The 16612-nt window shown below is 43.3% G+C and overlaps 1 protein-coding gene across 2 annotated transcripts in view; it reads left to right on the forward strand.

Annotated features, from left to right (window-relative positions):
- Positions 1-16612, forward strand: part of CLSTN2 (calsyntenin 2) — a 642213-nt gene that overhangs the window by 142201 nt on the left and 483400 nt on the right. The window contains exon 1 of one of the 2 annotated variants that reach the window (XM_017007022.3): positions 15219-15556. The exons of the other annotated variant lie outside the window; for it this stretch is intronic. Coding sequence (XP_016862511.1) covers positions 15523-15556 — 34 coding nt within the window. The 5' untranslated portion in view covers positions 15219-15522. Of the gene's footprint in view, positions 1-15218; positions 15557-16612 lie in introns of those variants that run through there. 2 annotated transcript variants of the gene reach the window in all.

Genomic DNA, 16612 nt, shown 5'->3' on the forward strand with positions numbered 1-16612 from the left:
GGCTCTCATTTACATCATAGAGTTCTCAGTCTTTCTGTCCAGCACCTGCTCAAAACTCCTTCCTTGAACCAAGGTTCTTAATCTAAGAGCTCTATTGGTGGTTCGGTTGCTCAGTTATTTCTGTTTCTGTTGGTACCACACATATGTCTGCAAATGTGCGAGATGTGGGGGAGACTCTCTTTAGTGAGAAGGGGCTCTGCCTGTCAGGAAGGCCTGCCCTGTACACTGCTGAGGCTTGCCTACAAAACCCCATTGTGCCTGCGGTGAAAGAGGTCTTCTCAGTTTCCCTCTCATGTAGAGGGGAGGAAAAAAAAAAAACCTCAAACCTTATAGTTTGAAAATACTCAAACCTAGAATACTTTTGCTCACTGCCCACAAAGCTCTTTCCTCTGTTGTCCTTTCATCCAGTATCAAATGCTCACTTTGCCGTAGCTGCTTATGTTTGGAATGGCCGGTTTGCTCCCTCTCTAGCATTTAACTGTTTGATAATTTATATGAACTCTCCTGGAATCCAAACCAGATTTGAGTGTGATTATTAAGGCTTGAAGTTCCTTCTCAAGGGAAGTTGTAGGAACTGGAGAGAAATGTTGCTGGGATTGGTAGAAAATTTCCCCTGCAAAGGGTCAACTGTGAAGCTGAATTTTGGGTAACACGGTGGATGAGGGGAAGATGAAAGAGGAAGCAGAGGTCACCATGTGTGCTGGTGGCATTTGGAGGCTCCCTCTAGCCCACTTGAGCTTTATCCTGTGGACTCACAGGACACCCTGCACCCTCTTTTGGATCAATGTCAGGAGATGCTTGCAGTAGTTCTCCTGTGATCAGCTCTAATCCTTAACCTTTCATTGGTGCTTGACTTACCTCCTCAATGGGTAAAACATTGAAGTACTGAACTAGCTCCTTCTGGTTAATTTGTTGATTGGATTGGAAATTAGAACATGGAGCTGGTCAATGCACGGTATCTGGTAATTGTGGATGGGGGAGATGACTGGGGCAGAACTGAGCTCTATTTTTGCCAACATAGTACCAATGTGTGATATAATGTACTACTGAGACCATTACAAAATTAAAGGTGACTTTTTAATCTGGAATTGCAAACCGACAGCAGCCTGTCTGGGGAGCTCCATGTAATGAGTGTATGTCTCCAACAGTCTTCAATGACTGACAGGTGAAAAGCTGTGCCACAGCCTGGAATTATTATGCTGACACACAAAAGAGGGCGGGAGTGACAGCGTGGTGATCTACCAGTGCTGTCTGTGGGGTTAATGGTAAGCTTTCCCACTGCTAATGGTTTATAAAAAGAACAAAGAAAAGGAAAACGGTGCAGGGGAAAATCAATAGTATTAACAGAGTCATGGTAATGAATGCAATCGTTTATTTCTGGGATGGCTTTTATTGAACTGGTTTTGAACTTGATACCTTTTATTTTAAGTTTATGAGTTAGTGAATAAGAAATTCAGGGAAAAAATCAACTTTCTGCCAGACACAGCAGCCATGTTGTGTTGATCAAAGCTAAAGTTTTCAGTCTTTGAAAAAGGGAATTGAGATAGGAATATATAAATGTTTATCCATAAGGAGGATACCATGGAAATGCTGGGGAATAAGGTGTGGTTTTTGATATCAGAAAGACCTATTTTTGAGTCCTAGTTCTGTCTGTTAGCTGCATGACCATTGATCAATTTCTTTTTGCATGAAACAGGATCTCCCTAGCCAGGGTTGTTATGAGACTCAGGTGACATCATGTCTATTTATAAAGGCTTCTAACATGGTGCCTGGTAGGTTTCCTACTTACCAAACCACAGGTATGGTTTGCTGATGCCATCATTATCTTGGTATTTTATACTTCATTATAGTCTCCCAATTCAATGAACTCTTGAGCTGAAGGCCAAGAAAGAGTTGTATGGTGTATGTGACCTTTTCAATCTGTTGATTAACGATATTCATATTAATATCAATTTTCAGGAGAGAGCATAAATTTCCAAGAGATAGAGAAAATCGTTCTAAAAGATGACAATCTCTAGAAATACTCAAGCAAATGTGGTAGGATCATGTACTATGGACACTGTAGAAAAGAATACCAGGGTAGGCTGGGTGCAGTGGCTCACACCTGTAATCCCAGCACTTTGGGAGGCCAACGCAGGGGCAGATCATGAGGTCAGGAGATTGAGACCATCCTGGCTAACACAGTGAAACCCCATCTTTACTAAAAATATAAAAAATTAGCCGGGCATGGTGGCACATGCCTGTAATCCCAGCTACTTGGGAGGCTGAAGCAGGAGAATCGCTTGAACCCGGGAGGCAGAGGTTGCAGTGAGCCGAGGTTGTGCCACTGCACTCCAGCCTGGACAACAGAGTGAGACTATGTCTCAAAAAAAAAAAGAAAGAAAAAAAAGAAAGAAACTAGGGTGGATGAGAAGGAGAAATAAGAGTTTACATTTGTTTACTTTTTACTCAAAATAAGTTTCAAATTGATATTTTTAAAATCTAGAAACAATTTTGATGAATAATGGTTTTTATGTTTTCATGTTTAGGTCCAGTGCATATAAGTTTATTCTTGATTAATGGCAGGAGGAATTAACATACACTAACTTTGAGGAAGATGTGCTCATATACATTATTTTTATAATTCAGTCATATGAGGCATTTTATTCACATCCTACATGAGGAGATTGAGAACAAAATATGTAATGTAGATTCAAGTTGCACAGCTAGAGTGAGGCCAGAGTTCATACCCCAGTCTCGTGGTCTTTCTGCAGCCTCATGATAGAGCAAGGATATTGTCACCTGAGAAACCAACATTGAACCTCCTTCTCTGAAGCCCAGTGAGTGCCCTTCCTCTAGACTCTGGCCACAGCTGGGCCTCCCTCCATCAGCCCACATAACTCATTGCAGTGTGCTTATCTGTTCACTACTCTTTGTCTTCAAAGGAAACTCCAGAATTGTAATAGCTGTATCCTCTTCATCTCTGAACCTCCAGGACTTCAAAAGAAGTGACTGGACGTAGTAGGTGCCTGGGAAAGGTTTTTGAATGAATGTTTGAAGACAGCATCTAGGTGTCCAGCTCCTAGACCTTTCTTTGAGCGACAGTGGGTCTCAGTCTCATCTATTCAAGCTCCTGTTTGGGTTCATATTTATCCCAACCCAACCTTCTTTCTCTGGCCCTTGAGTCTCTCTTCATTAAGACTAATGTTTTCCCAGCTCACCAAACTTGCAGTCTCCTGGGATTCTCTGCTTCCCCCTATTATTTTCCACTAGTCTAAGGTGCTGCTTCATAGGCTTTCACAGTCCCATCTGCAGTTCAAGCTATTTGGCTGTATCTGCTCATCAGCCATCAATGAGGACTCCAGGAAACCACCGCCCCAAACACCCTCCAATCAGTCCCCCTACTCCTGGGGGCTGGAGCTCTGTTAGCCCACAATGGCTATGCAGCACCCAAGGTTTGCCACAAGGATGGGGTGAGTGCGTGGTGTGTTACACGGATAAGTACAAGGCTATAAGGGTGGAAACTTCCATCCCACTTCTGCTTCTTACCAGCTATGGGACACTGCACTGTGAGAAGGCTGTGTGTGAAAGTGAGTCAGTAAAGTGGAGATAGGGATGAGCTGACCTCTGAATATCCTTCACTCCACAGCGTACTTAGCTGTGCCAGTGATGTGACACCGATGCTATGTCTTTGTGGAAAATGGGCCTCCAAAAGAAAGAAAGATGCTTATGTTGATGACAGAATGGAACAAAAGGTGAAGATGTGTGAGCAAGTGATGGTTCTCTGCAAGAAAACAGATATTCACGGGGGAAATTTTGAACAATAGTGGAATTTTTCAATTTGGTTTTTCCCCCCTTAGGGCAAATCCCTCACAAATGTCAAGACACTACTAAAAATGAACAATGAAGAAAAGATAAAGAATACGAAAGTATTGACAGCAATGGAAAGTTTAATTTCTTCTTTTGTATTGAAAGATTAATTTTCTTCGTGCCAAGGTTGATGTTTCTCCTCTTTTGCATGTTTGTCATTAGTATTCTGCGTGAAAAGTTAAACACTTGAAAGGGATAAAGATTACCTGCCAGTGCTTTCCCCATGAATCAGATTCAAAATGCAAACTGTGACATGAGGCGGAGACGTTTATTTTATTTAGTACGGAATCAGGAGAGGAAATTGCTCAGTTTCTGCGCTGCAGCCCCAGGCACTGGGAGGGTCACACTGGTGTATCCCTCCCCCTCCTCCCACCCTTACCCCCACCTGCAGAGTCCTCCCTTTCCTGCTCAATTCTCTCCTTCCCCTTCTCTTTCCCAAGCTGTGCCTGATATCATGATATCATACCACCCCTTCTGCACACCGCAAAGCCTCTGTCCAGAGCAAGGGTTAGAGCCTTGCTCATTCCGATCAACTGGATTTAGCATCACTCTACTCTGGAGACTGGAGAGAGGTTGGGGTTCAGCTATCCAGCTCTGTAATTCAAAAGCTGTTTGACCTTCAGCAAGTTGCTAAACCCTTCTGGATCTAGCTTACTTATTTTTTATTATATATAAAACTCAGCTGTAACTACCTATTGGCTGATTCATTTAACTAACTGTAACTTGTTCATGGCTCACCACCCTCCACCTACCTAGAGTTAATGTCAAGCAGGGCATTTCTCTCCAGCTTTTTGAAGACAACAAGCCTATTAGAGGTGCTAAAACACCTTAAATGGAGCAGCAGGAGTGGACCAAGGACTGCTTCTGACTCACAGCGGGTGGATGCCCAGTGGGAGGCAAGACTACTGTCATAAATATTGTTCTGTCCCCTAGAGCAGGAGAATTTTGAGCAATGTAATCCTTTCTGCTTCACACTGCAGCCTTTCTCCTGAAGTTATTTGACTACTGGGGGCTCTTCTCCTGTGGCTGGCATTCTTTCCCTTCTCTCCTATTCCTTGAATATAGAGGGCTGTGTGCTGCGTCTGGAGGGCTGGCAGGGGGAATGATGGGAATGTGCATTGCTTTTTGGCTTGGGGTTTATCTATTAAGAAATTGCGGGATGGGCCATCTTTTCAGGCTTTGCATTGCAGGGGACAGGCCAACAAGGTTGGCAAATGCATCTTTGAAATGAACATATCTCCATCGTGCCTCATTTCTGGGATCAGAATGAATTAAGTCCACCCTGGATTTTGAGAGCCTCCCACTGTGGCACCCACTACTTCTACAAGTCTCTGACTACAGTCTAATGCTCCCCCATACACCCCTCCAAACAGAGGAGTTGCTTCCTACACCTTCTCATCCCCTCGTTGTGTTGCTGCTTTCAAGCCTTGCTCTGTCACCATCCCCTTTCTGGAGTTGTCTTGCCAGAAGTTGTCTGTACAACTTCAAGTCTTTTAGCTCAATCCATGAAGCCCCCATGATCCACCATAGTTTCCTATGGGACTGTGTTAGGTTCTAGGGATATGAGGAAGAACTGGATGTGGTCCCTTGCTTCAGTGAACTCACACCTCAGGCTGTATCTTTTATATATTCTCCATCTTTGCCTTAGTAGCAAGCCCAGGTCTTGATGTCAAGGAGCACGTGGAAAATGTGTATACCTTCTACTTGGGTGCAGCCATGGACAGCACCATCATTTCAACCAGAGGGCCTTTACACATGCTGTTTCCGCTGCCTGAGAAAATCTACCTTATCCCTTCAATAATTAAACTTTATTAGGTCTTAGCTGACATGTTACTTCCTTGTGGAAGCCTTTTGCTGGACACTATATGGCTCATTTTTATAAGAACTCATGGCTTCTTGTATTCTTCTGTTATAGCATTTATTACGTTTTTTGCTGATTTGTTTGTATGATGATTTGAATATTTAATGTCGTCTTCTCAAGACTGTAAGCTCTATGATCTAATTTTTTCACCACTCTGTGCCCAGTGCCAGACACAGTGGCAAGTCTACTATGTTGCTATCTGATTAATCTGTATTAAATAAATGACTGGTAACTTGATAGCCCAAATTTTCTAATGGCAGCAAGGAGGGATGAATTTTCAAAGTAAATGTCTAAAAAGCTGGAAAGAAAACCTTAAATGGCTGGCTAGTTGGATGAATGGATGAATGAATTAATGATTGGTTGGATGAATTAATATTTCAGAAAATAAAACCAGGTCTTCCCGAGCAGCAAGTTCTGGCAATTGAGAGCCATCCAGAGATTTACCATATGTCTGTCTTTTCCTCTCCAAACTCTAGCTCATGTTTTGCCCCACCAATATTCTATTACCCCAGAATCCCACATTCTTACGTGTCTGCACATTCAGAGGCAGAACCTGGTGCTTGTGCTACGTGGCACATGATGAGTTCAAGTTTTAGTGTAGGATTTTCCATCCACTGGCTTTTATCCCACCTGTGCTGGGGAGTCTTCCCTGAGCACAGCAAAACTACACAGTTCTGGTGGTAGTGCAGCCCATGGGACATCTGTGGGCAGGACACCACCAAGGGAATACAAAGGAGTGAAGATATTAGCATGCATGTGTCTTAAGGTCAGCATTTTTTTTCAAGTGTTTTTTCATTTCTTTTAAAAAACAGTAAACTTTGATCTTCTGCCTCCATTCAGTAAGCATCAAAAGTGGACTCCTGATACTTCCATTTTTGATGTAACACATAAACTGGAGATCGGTAGGAGATATTCTTTATTGCCTTTAAAAGGATTTTACCAAAGAAAAGTAGTAGGTCCTCTTAACCTGGAAATGTAGACTTTTCATGATGCTGCATATAACCCTAGAGGAGTGGGAGGTCACATCCCGATGAATCAGCATATTGGTGTTCTCCTTGCCTTTCTTGTTTCAAATGGGATGCATGTACATCTCCCGTGTGCCCTCCTGAGAGGCACCACCACATGCTTGCAACATCACTACCCTGTGGTGGTGACCAAAGACAGAGAGGTACAGATATGAGGCCAGGATTCAGGATGTGACTATATGAAATAAGTATAGCCTCCTCCTACAGCCCAAGTAACTGAATGAAGTACTGGGCAGGGAATAGGAACATGAGGTCCTTATTCAGCAAAGACCTTAACCCCCTGTATGAGCTCTGGAAAGTCCTTTAATATCTGTGTGGTTTCACTAAGGTTAGGAATAAGTGTGTATGTAGATACGTATGCATTCAAATGTATGATAGCTGACTGACAAAATCTAATTTCCTTCAGTAGTCTACTGAAGTCTATCAGAAACCAAGTCTACAGACAACTGCAACAGAATGTGTTGCTGTTTTATGGTTATTTTACCAAATTCCCAGGTTCAAGGAAACTACCTGAGGGTTCTCTAATATACTTCATGGTGCAAGACACACTGATATGGGATATAACCTATTGCTGGACTTGAGCAAATTTTGAAATCACAAATTCTAAGGGATTCAGGGAAGCCTAAAGGCATTCCAGCCCCAGCAGATACTTGAATCTCCTTTCCAGCATCTGCAACAAGCATTTTCTACTCCTGCTTACCTACTTCCTAGCAACAGAGAATACAGTACCCTCCTGAGGAAGTCTACTTGCTTTTTGAATTGGGACTCAACCTGTGTATGAGTTTGTGTGAACTGAATGTGTGTGCATACACATAAGCATGTGTGTGAGTGCAAATGTGGTGTACCCACAGCATGTGCAATCCATGAGTTTGTTTCTAGTGTGTGTGTGGCTGAGTCTTCTACCGTTTACTTCTCCAACATTTTCAAGGAGAAATAAAACTTTTCTAGGATTGTCAGATATTTCGATTCTTGCAGCCTCTCTCCACCAGCACAGTTAATTGAGGGTTGATTTTGTTTGCACATGTTATGCATTATTCATCCAGGGTCTCTGTGGACACCTAATTTCCTGCCTTAGAAAAGAAATCAACAAACAGATGGATGTCACTGCTGTTGCATTGCTGCACTGAAAGAAAGATGGTGGGCTAGAGAACGTGTTCCCCTGTTTGCACAAGGTGCTTTTCTTGCCAGCAATGAGAGAGCCTCATTTTCTTACAGTGACAAGCTTTCTGACCAGCCTTTAGACCCGCTTACTTTCCTCATTACATATACGTAAGCAGGGCTGTGGTATAAGCTGGTATTTAACCACACTAGGGACATTTCTCCAAGTCTTCTGCTCACAGTCTTACCCTGCTGGGACCAACCTCACCTAGAAGCAGGGAGAGGCCAGTTGGGCTGTGGACATCTTCTCACCTTTAATGAGAATCCAAATCCTCTGGGGGCAATTTACTATGGCTAGAGAGCTGACACAACTAGTTGTGTATGGCTGGGTGCTGGAGTCCATCTGGTGAGACTCCGGTGTCATTTTTTTATATATCTTCTCTGAACATCCTGGCCTGCTCTACCTCCTCTGCCCCTCTCTCCATTGTTGGCCCCAGGATCTCCTACAAGCCTGAGTAAAGACAGGAGCAATACAACAATGTCTAGAGGGAAAACTTGCCTCTGCAGACTCCTGTGGATATAGAGCCTCAGAGAATGTTTTGAACTGTGATCTCAAAACTATGGTGTGACATAGTTGTGTATTCACCGGATCCTATGCTTTAGCTCTTCATGAAAGTCTGTGATGACTAGGTTGCAGAGAATGAGCTAAAGTACAGATCACTTGGGGCAACTCCTGGAGACTCCCTTCAGATGCACATTGACCTGTTAGTGAGAAGTATGATGTTTTAAGGTACATGTATTCAGCCAACTATAAATCTCTCATGGGTCTCTTTTCCACCAAGTCCATAATAATAATAGACTTTGCTGCCTTCCTTATGAATATTTGGACATATTATGCCAATGACAGGAATGACAAATGGATTTCCTCTGGTGTGATAATGCTAACAGATTAGGTAGGTGTAGTCCCTCTTAGTCTTTTGAGAAAAATGTTGAACCTATATCTCTGTTCGGTGATAACGAATGCTGGGGTTGGTTAGCAATGTCTGCTATGGGAATGGGATAGCAGAGCTGTAGTGTGCATGCTGTAGTGCATAGAACAGGCTGTGGAGCTGGACTTCATCAATTTAAATCCTAGCTCTAATATTTCCTATAATTGTGTGATATTAGACAAATGACTTAAACCCTTTGTGACTCAATATCTTCATATGTCATTGAGAATATTGATAGTACTTACCTGTAGGGCTTTTGTATGGATTGAATCATCTAATATGTGCAGGGTGCTTGGAATGGTGCCTGGCACATAAGTGCAACGTAAGTATTTGCTGTTATTGTAATTACAAATACATATCCGTGACCTTCAATCCAACAGGAGTTAAAGTTCACCTGGTTTATTTATCATGTATACACTCATTTTGGGTCCCCAGCCTTACCACTTTCTTTTCTAAGTGCTCATAAACCGTCTCTTTCAGATGTTTTCTACAGTTCCCCTGGATATCACTGTGTATCTCAGACATGTATTTTGGATCCATACTCTCTCAATCCTTGAAAATTAGGACTTTTGTCATTGCTTAATCTTCAGGCATTGCTCCAATTCTGTTTCACAGCTGTCTTTGACAGATCCTGGTGACATATTAACTAGTCATTGTGTATCACATACAGTTCTAAGAGCTTCCCATTTTCCTCATTATTCCTCACAATGACCTTTTTAACTTGGCACTATGATAGTCCCCACTTTACAAATAAGAGCTTTCACATTTAGAGAACTTAAATATCTGCCTGAGATTTCTCAGCTGACAAATGGTAGATCCCAAATTTGGATTCAGGTCATTGCTTACCTAAAAGGTGGTTTGAAGACCTTTTGTTTGGTGGAGGTTTTTTTAATGGAGGGAAGAGGATCATAGCTGATATAAGATTTGGGAGTTTGGGTGAAGTACAGGCTCAGAAACCGGTGTCTTGAGACCAACCAGATTGTAGTTGTGTTGTGTCCATTTAACCTTTGCTGAACTTCAGGAAGGAGGGAGAAAGAAGACTGAATTGTTTCCCTTAATTCAAAGGACAGTTTATGAAGATTAGGACAGAGCCCAGTGAGAGGTATACATCGAGGATCAGGCAAATGAGCTGATTAAAGGTTAAACATATGAATTGTAGCCATTCTTCTTATTGAATTTGTATTTTTAAGATCCAAGGTAAATTTGTAATACCTCTGCCCTGTTATTAATAGCTATTTCTCAGCATTCTGCATTGGAAGGGCTCAGCTTCTACCTCCTAGCATCTTTCTCTTGTAAGTAGTTCATTCTGCTATTCATCTGTCCACTGATCCTTCCCATCATCAATTTAATCATTCTTGAGCTAGATTGTTGTGCTGTGGATAATGGAGTAAAAAAGATAGACTGCTGTTTTTGAGGGTTGTGCTTTGAGAGTCAAATGGGGAAAATAAAAAGTAAACATACTCAAACAGTAAGATTGTGGCTGATATAAACAAAATATTTAGGTTCTATGGGGCTCCCAAAATGGATACCTAACCCAACCTGAGAGAGGAGAGTAATATCATTGAGAGCTTCTCAGAGGAGGTGAATTTTGAGTTAAGTGGATAAGTTGTTTGTAGCATGGAAGGAAATAGAGGTGAGGAGTTTGGGGCAAAGAGAGATAGTAGTGTCTGGAAGGTGTGGGAAACTTCAAAATGTTGGCATGCTTACAGCGTAAATTGCACAGGTGGCAGTGGCATGGGAGCTTGTCCCTATGCATCTCATAGTCCAGGTTAAGGAGTCTCGATTTTAAGGAGGTTGGAGCCACTGATCTCTGGGGGCTCAACAGGAGGCTAAAGGCAGGAGAGTTTGGTATCTCATCAACCGTTCGTTATGCCATGACATCTCTAACACAATGGATTATTTTGTGGCCCATTATTCGTTTCCCCCCTAAGAAAACCAGATGCAAACATAATCACTTGGTTAAAATAAGATTTAGAGCACTGTTATCACAGAAGAGATGGTACTATCATAAAAGCCACTGTCCCACAGGCAACATTTTCTATTAACAGTAGAAGATTTAACAGATGTCCATTATCTGAGAATAGGATTTGTTCTGATAATGGCCAGACAATGAGTTCCAGACAGTTTGTAATCCAGGGTCTCCTTCATTCTTGTGCAGACCACATAAATCAAGGTTGACTTTTATGTGACACCTGGACACACCATAACTTGTTGAGGGAGGAATTTCTCTGAAAGTCTTGTATTTTTAATCTAGAATCCAGCTGAGCCACAATTTCCCATCCCAACCCCATTTCACATTTATGGCCACCAAGTCTACACTGACATTTAAGGTCATTTGAGCTGCCCTTCACAGGGTTACAACTGCAGAAAAACAAAGGAAGCCATCTCTCCCTGGAAGCTGTCAGTACCACCCCTGCCCCCTCCTATGACTCTCCCCACCCAAAGTCCTTCCACCTCCATGTCACTGAGGTTCCTCGGAGACTGTCAATACTGGATTGACCTGACTGGATCTGCACAACGGATGTGGTGATGTCATGCCTCTCCCCTGGGTTTCTTCCTGGACCCAGCAAGGGAGGCCTTCACAGCTTGCAGTGGAATATCTGAGGCAAAACCTTGAAACAGAATTTCATAGTATCTGTCACATTCTCATATTTTCTTTCTTTAAAAATTTAGTTGAATAATTTCAACTTATTTCACTGGATAAAGTAAATAAATATTTTACATTTGCTAAAACTTTATACTTTGTTCCAAGTTTTTTAAGTGGAAAAAAATGCATGTAAAAAAATTTAAATCAACTGAGACAAAAAAAAGCACAAACATTAAAATGGAACTAAAAATGTAAGTATGCAAAACACATTGAGTCTTTTGGTCTCTGTCCCTCTTTCCTGAAGACCTGCTAGCTTAGAGGCTGCTCATGTAACTGGAGCTCCATTAAACAAGCTGACTGAGACCTGGTCTAGGGCTCACACCTTTTACCTCATGTCTCACTTGTTCATATCTCTTGGGATTCTGATTTGGGCCTTATTTTTCTCTGTGTGGCCTTGTGTGCCCTTTGAAATCAAGCTTAATTCTTCTAGTCTCTTGGAGTTCACCTCTGGCTTCCCTTCTTGGCCAAGATTCAGATTCACCCTTGGATTATGTGGCTTCTGAGTGCCCTGGTTCAACACCTGAGTTGGCTCCCTCAGTGCAGCCTTCAAGTCTGTGCCTCAACCCAGCTTCTCCAGCAGGGAAGTGGTCCTAGGGAAGCCCTTTTGTTCTGCCCAGTGGAAAAGGGGACCTATTAGTTCAGCAGGCTCTAAACTCCCAAAGCAGTAAAGAAATAAAGCCCCGTGTTTTTGAGGGTGCTCTATTTTGGTCTTCCTTTTCAGCTGGTTTTATTTATTTATTTATTTATTTATTTATTTATTTATTTATTTATTTTTGAGACTGGGTCTTGCTCCCATTGTCCAGGCTAGAGTGCAGTGGTGCAACCTTGGCTTACTGCAGACGTGACTTCCCAGTCTTGTGATCCTCCCACCTTAGCCTCCTGAGTAGCTGGGACTACAGGCATGCACCACCATACCTGGCCTATTTTTTGTATTTTTAGTAGAGATAGGGTTTTACCATGTTGCCCAGGCTAGTCTCAAACTCCTGGGCTCAAGTGATCTGTGTAAGAGTTAAAGAAAGGGGAAAGAAACACAAAACATGGCTTAACAGTTAAAGGAAGGTTTATTTTAGAGAAAAAACCTGAGAGGGGCTCCTGGCTGATTTCAGCTAGGATTGGCTTTTTTTTTTTTTTTTTTTTTTTTTTTTTAACAGACTGAGTATATATTGGTTTTAGGGTGAGGGGGCTTATTACAAGCTTGGAATGTTTCTGTGTGGGGGAGAAATTTATGGTGGAGCTGGAATGTCTCTGGATGGAGGGGAGGTTATCTTGGGGCTGATATCTTTCTGGCAGGAGGTGGGTTGTCTCGGGGCTGGCATCTTCCCGGCTGAAGGGGGGTTATCTTGGGGGAAGCATGTCTCTGCTTGGGGAGGAATTTGGAATGTTTCTGGTTGGAGATGTTATTTGTGGTTTATGGTCATGCTGACCTTAGCCATTAGGCTGATGCCCTTTGGATTTAGGTGGTTTTTGATTAAGGTGAATTTTAAAATAATACTTGTCCAAGATGGCAATAATCCTGCTCTGTCAATCTTCCCACCTTGACTTCCAAAGCACTGGGATTACAAGCATGAGCCACCATGCCTGGCCTTTTTCAGCTCTTTTATATTGATGAATCTGCTACATTGAAGATCAGTGAGAAAAAACAAAGGTACTATCAATAATGGATGGCCAAATGCAGGTCAGTTGCTTAATGCTGTCTAGTGTATGTCGGGTGATGTGGGTGGAAGCAAGATGAAGCATGACCCCTTATTCTGGGAGCGTAAGTCCTGTTGGAGGCACAACACTAACACAGAAAATAGGGAACAGTGAATCTCATGGGAAGAGTGGGCTACACCAGCCAGGAAAGACTTCCTGGAGGAAGTGAGGCTGACTGATCCTTGAAGGGTAGGGCAAACTTAGGGTGAAGTTTCTGAAGTGAGGAATCAAGACTCAGAAGCAGGCTGGACATAGTAAGGGCAAGATAGACCATTAAAGGAGGTGTACGGGGGCAGGAAAGGGTACTACTGGTCAGGGGGTCAAAACAGAGCTTTGTGGTAGGAAGTTAGAGGCCTTCAAATGCCAGATTTGGAACTGGGAATCTGATCCTAAGAGAAGGTGTATTGCATGTAGGTAGCCTGGTGATGGGTAGAGGAGTTCTGAGGAACTCTGGGCTGCTCCTACATAATGTGGTGGAGTGGCCCAGACTGACTCTGTCGACAACTGTGTCCCCTGGGGAGGTTGGTGGCTTTCTAGAGCCAGTCACCATTTCTTTATTTTAAACGTGGGATAATGACCCCAACCTCATGAAGCTGCTGTAAGGATTGTTGTGCACAAACATGGAGACTGGTGCCTGATGGATAATCAGTGCTTGATAAACATAAGGTGCCCAACAGCATGAGGCAGACCACACAGAGCAGCTGCGGGCAGGGAGAGATGACTCAGCTGGAAGAGCATACCCTTGGTAATATGTCCTGAACAGACTCTTGAGCCTTAACAAAGCAGTGCAAAATCCAGACACACAGGCAGCCCTCATCCTGGACACCCATTCCTTGGCTGTACCCAACAGACCACTGCTTTCAGGGAGCCGTGCCAGTGAGTAGCTGCCTTCCTTGGGGGAAGGAATTCCTAGAAAACACCAGAGCCTGCCTGGGCGGTATGTGGCAGTCACAGAAGCCCAGAACATTTCATTACCTAAATCTGTGTACAGTTTGAAGACATTTAAAAAATGTTTATGCTGACTTGCTGCACTTCTCTATGAAATCATTTTTTGAAATTACTCAGGAAATGAAAACATTTCCTCACTTTGATATTGAAATGCAGAAGGCGTGGGCCATCCACAGCTCCACTCTGGGCCTTCTGTGGTTCCTCAGGGCCAAACACAAAGCCTCAAACAAACACAGAAGGAACAATATCCCATTAGGGATTTTGTTGATGATGTACTTAAAAGTTATATTGTGTTTTAAAGTTCCATTATGAATGGGAACAATAGCCTCTGTGTTCGCTTTTATTGCCTCACCATACAACAATGCAATTTCCATTTGCTTTGTCTAATTTTCTCCATTCTTCGTGGTATTCCTAGTCCCCAGTCAATGCCCAGTACATAGTAGATGCTCAGTAAATGTTTGTTGAATAAGTAAGGATTCTCTAATTCAAGTCTGGCTGTGCCTCAATCCAGGAAGCTTTACAGAGAGCAGGTCCTGGGATTCCCTACCAGCCCGTTGGATCAGCCCCACCCTCTAAGTCTGTCTGCAAAGGCTGCTGTGAGAATACTTCAGCATCTGGATCCTTGATGAGACTATGAGGCTCCTGAGAGTGCATTGTGTGCCCCCTCAAACCTCCTGGCCCTACTTAGAAGTGTTTAGGAATTGGGATGCTGTCTTACTGTTCAATTCACTGAAGAATCCTCCCACAGTCATCACTTGGGAACACACTTTTGGACATGCTGGATAATTCTGCCAGGAAAAAAGTGAGCCTCTTGATAAAACTGTAAGGATGAGAGACATGCCCCTGTTTTGCTCTCAGTCCTGGGCACAGAGAACTGAACATTTCATGGGAAGAAGCTGGTGTTCACTAAATTGTACTCAGTATTGACAAACATTATCTGTTTCTCCTGGAAGGAGGCTTAGAGTGGGGTGTGTTTATTTTATTCATGGGCAATTAAGTGTTAGAGAGGCTTAGGGTCTTGCTAAGGTTGCAGAGCTGGGAGGCCCACTGATGAGGTCTTTCTTCCCAGGACTGTGCTCCCAGCCACTGCGGGGTGTGCCGGGCTGGTGCATGAGCCTTGGGAAACCATCAGGTGAAGTCACTTTGCAGAGAGCAGTAGGCTGGAAGTCAGAAGACCTCTGTCTGATCCCTGCTCTCAAACCTGATTCCTGTGGACTCGAGCAAGTTAATTACAACACGAGGGAGTTCCACGAACAATGAAAGCTCATCCAGTGCTCACCACCTTGAGAAGGGACTCAGCAATCCTCCTGCAAGCTCCTCCACTCCTTCCCTCCATGGTGCATTTCAGTCTCCAGGGACGGTGACTTGCGTGCTGCCTGGCTCCTCCTACCTCAGGGGTTCTCCTCGCTAAGCATGCTGGCCAGATGGCCAAGAACAAGGATGAGGGGTGAGTGGATGGAGGGTGCTGATCAGCTTTTTTGGAAGCCACTAGATTTATCTTTCCCCAGAGTGTGGGTATACCATCTGGGCCCCTGTGAGGATGTAAGCCCTTTGTTATGCACGGTATTCAAATGGGAGCTACAGAGCTGGACAGAGAGAGAGAAGGTGGGGAGAGAGAGAGGCTTTAGGCCCATTTTGTTACTGACTCCCTCAACTGCAGCACGGCCCAGGCTTCCTTGGGTGCGGTGGGGCAGGGGTGTCGCCTGCTCTGGTTGCTCCCTGAGCCATTATTTCACAGATATTAATTAAGTTGTGAAAGGAGTGTATTTAAAGTCCAGTAAATGACAATTGAAGTAATAAACAATGGCACCAGGTCATGGAGCCAGGAGATGGCTCAGCAATGATCTGTACCCGCCATGGCCTGAAGGTGTCCTCACTGCCTTCTTGTTTCATCCTACCCCCCAGTTAGCTGTCTCTTCCTTTAGCCTCTCTTCCCTTCTCACTTGTACCCTGGTTCCTTCCCCTCCCCTTCCCACTTACCTTCAATATTGGAGTTTAGGTCCCCTCTGCACATTTCATATTCTTTGCTGAATTTCAATGTCCCCTAATGCCAGTGACTGAGGGCTAGCAGAGGGTGGGGTGAGCTCTGCCTGAGCATTCACTGTTCTTCACTGTGGCAGGGTTGGGGACATAGATCTCGTAATTTTAAGATGGGGTGGGGAAAAACCATGGTGATCTTCCACTCTATCTCTCCCCTAAAGAAGGATTTTCCAATGACCAGTGTGCAAAATTATTTTGAATGGCATAAGGTGAACATGGCTATTTATAGGTATGTATTTAACTGTATGTTAAAATATGTACAATTAGTATGTCAAACCTACTATTTCTAAGTTACAAGTAGTAGTATCTTAAGGATAAGTCGTTAAAATGAGTTTATTCAAAGTCTAGTAAAAAGAACAGGAGTAAATACAAGTAGAGTCCAGATATGGCAAGAACCCTCAGAGGTAATATGGGAATGACTAACGTGTTGGAACACTGCCCGGGGGAATCTGAAATAGGAGAG

Source organism: Homo sapiens, chromosome 3, assembly GCF_000001405.40.
Source record: "Homo sapiens chromosome 3, GRCh38.p14 Primary Assembly".
Taxonomy (NCBI): Eukaryota; Metazoa; Chordata; class Mammalia; order Primates; family Hominidae; genus Homo; species Homo sapiens.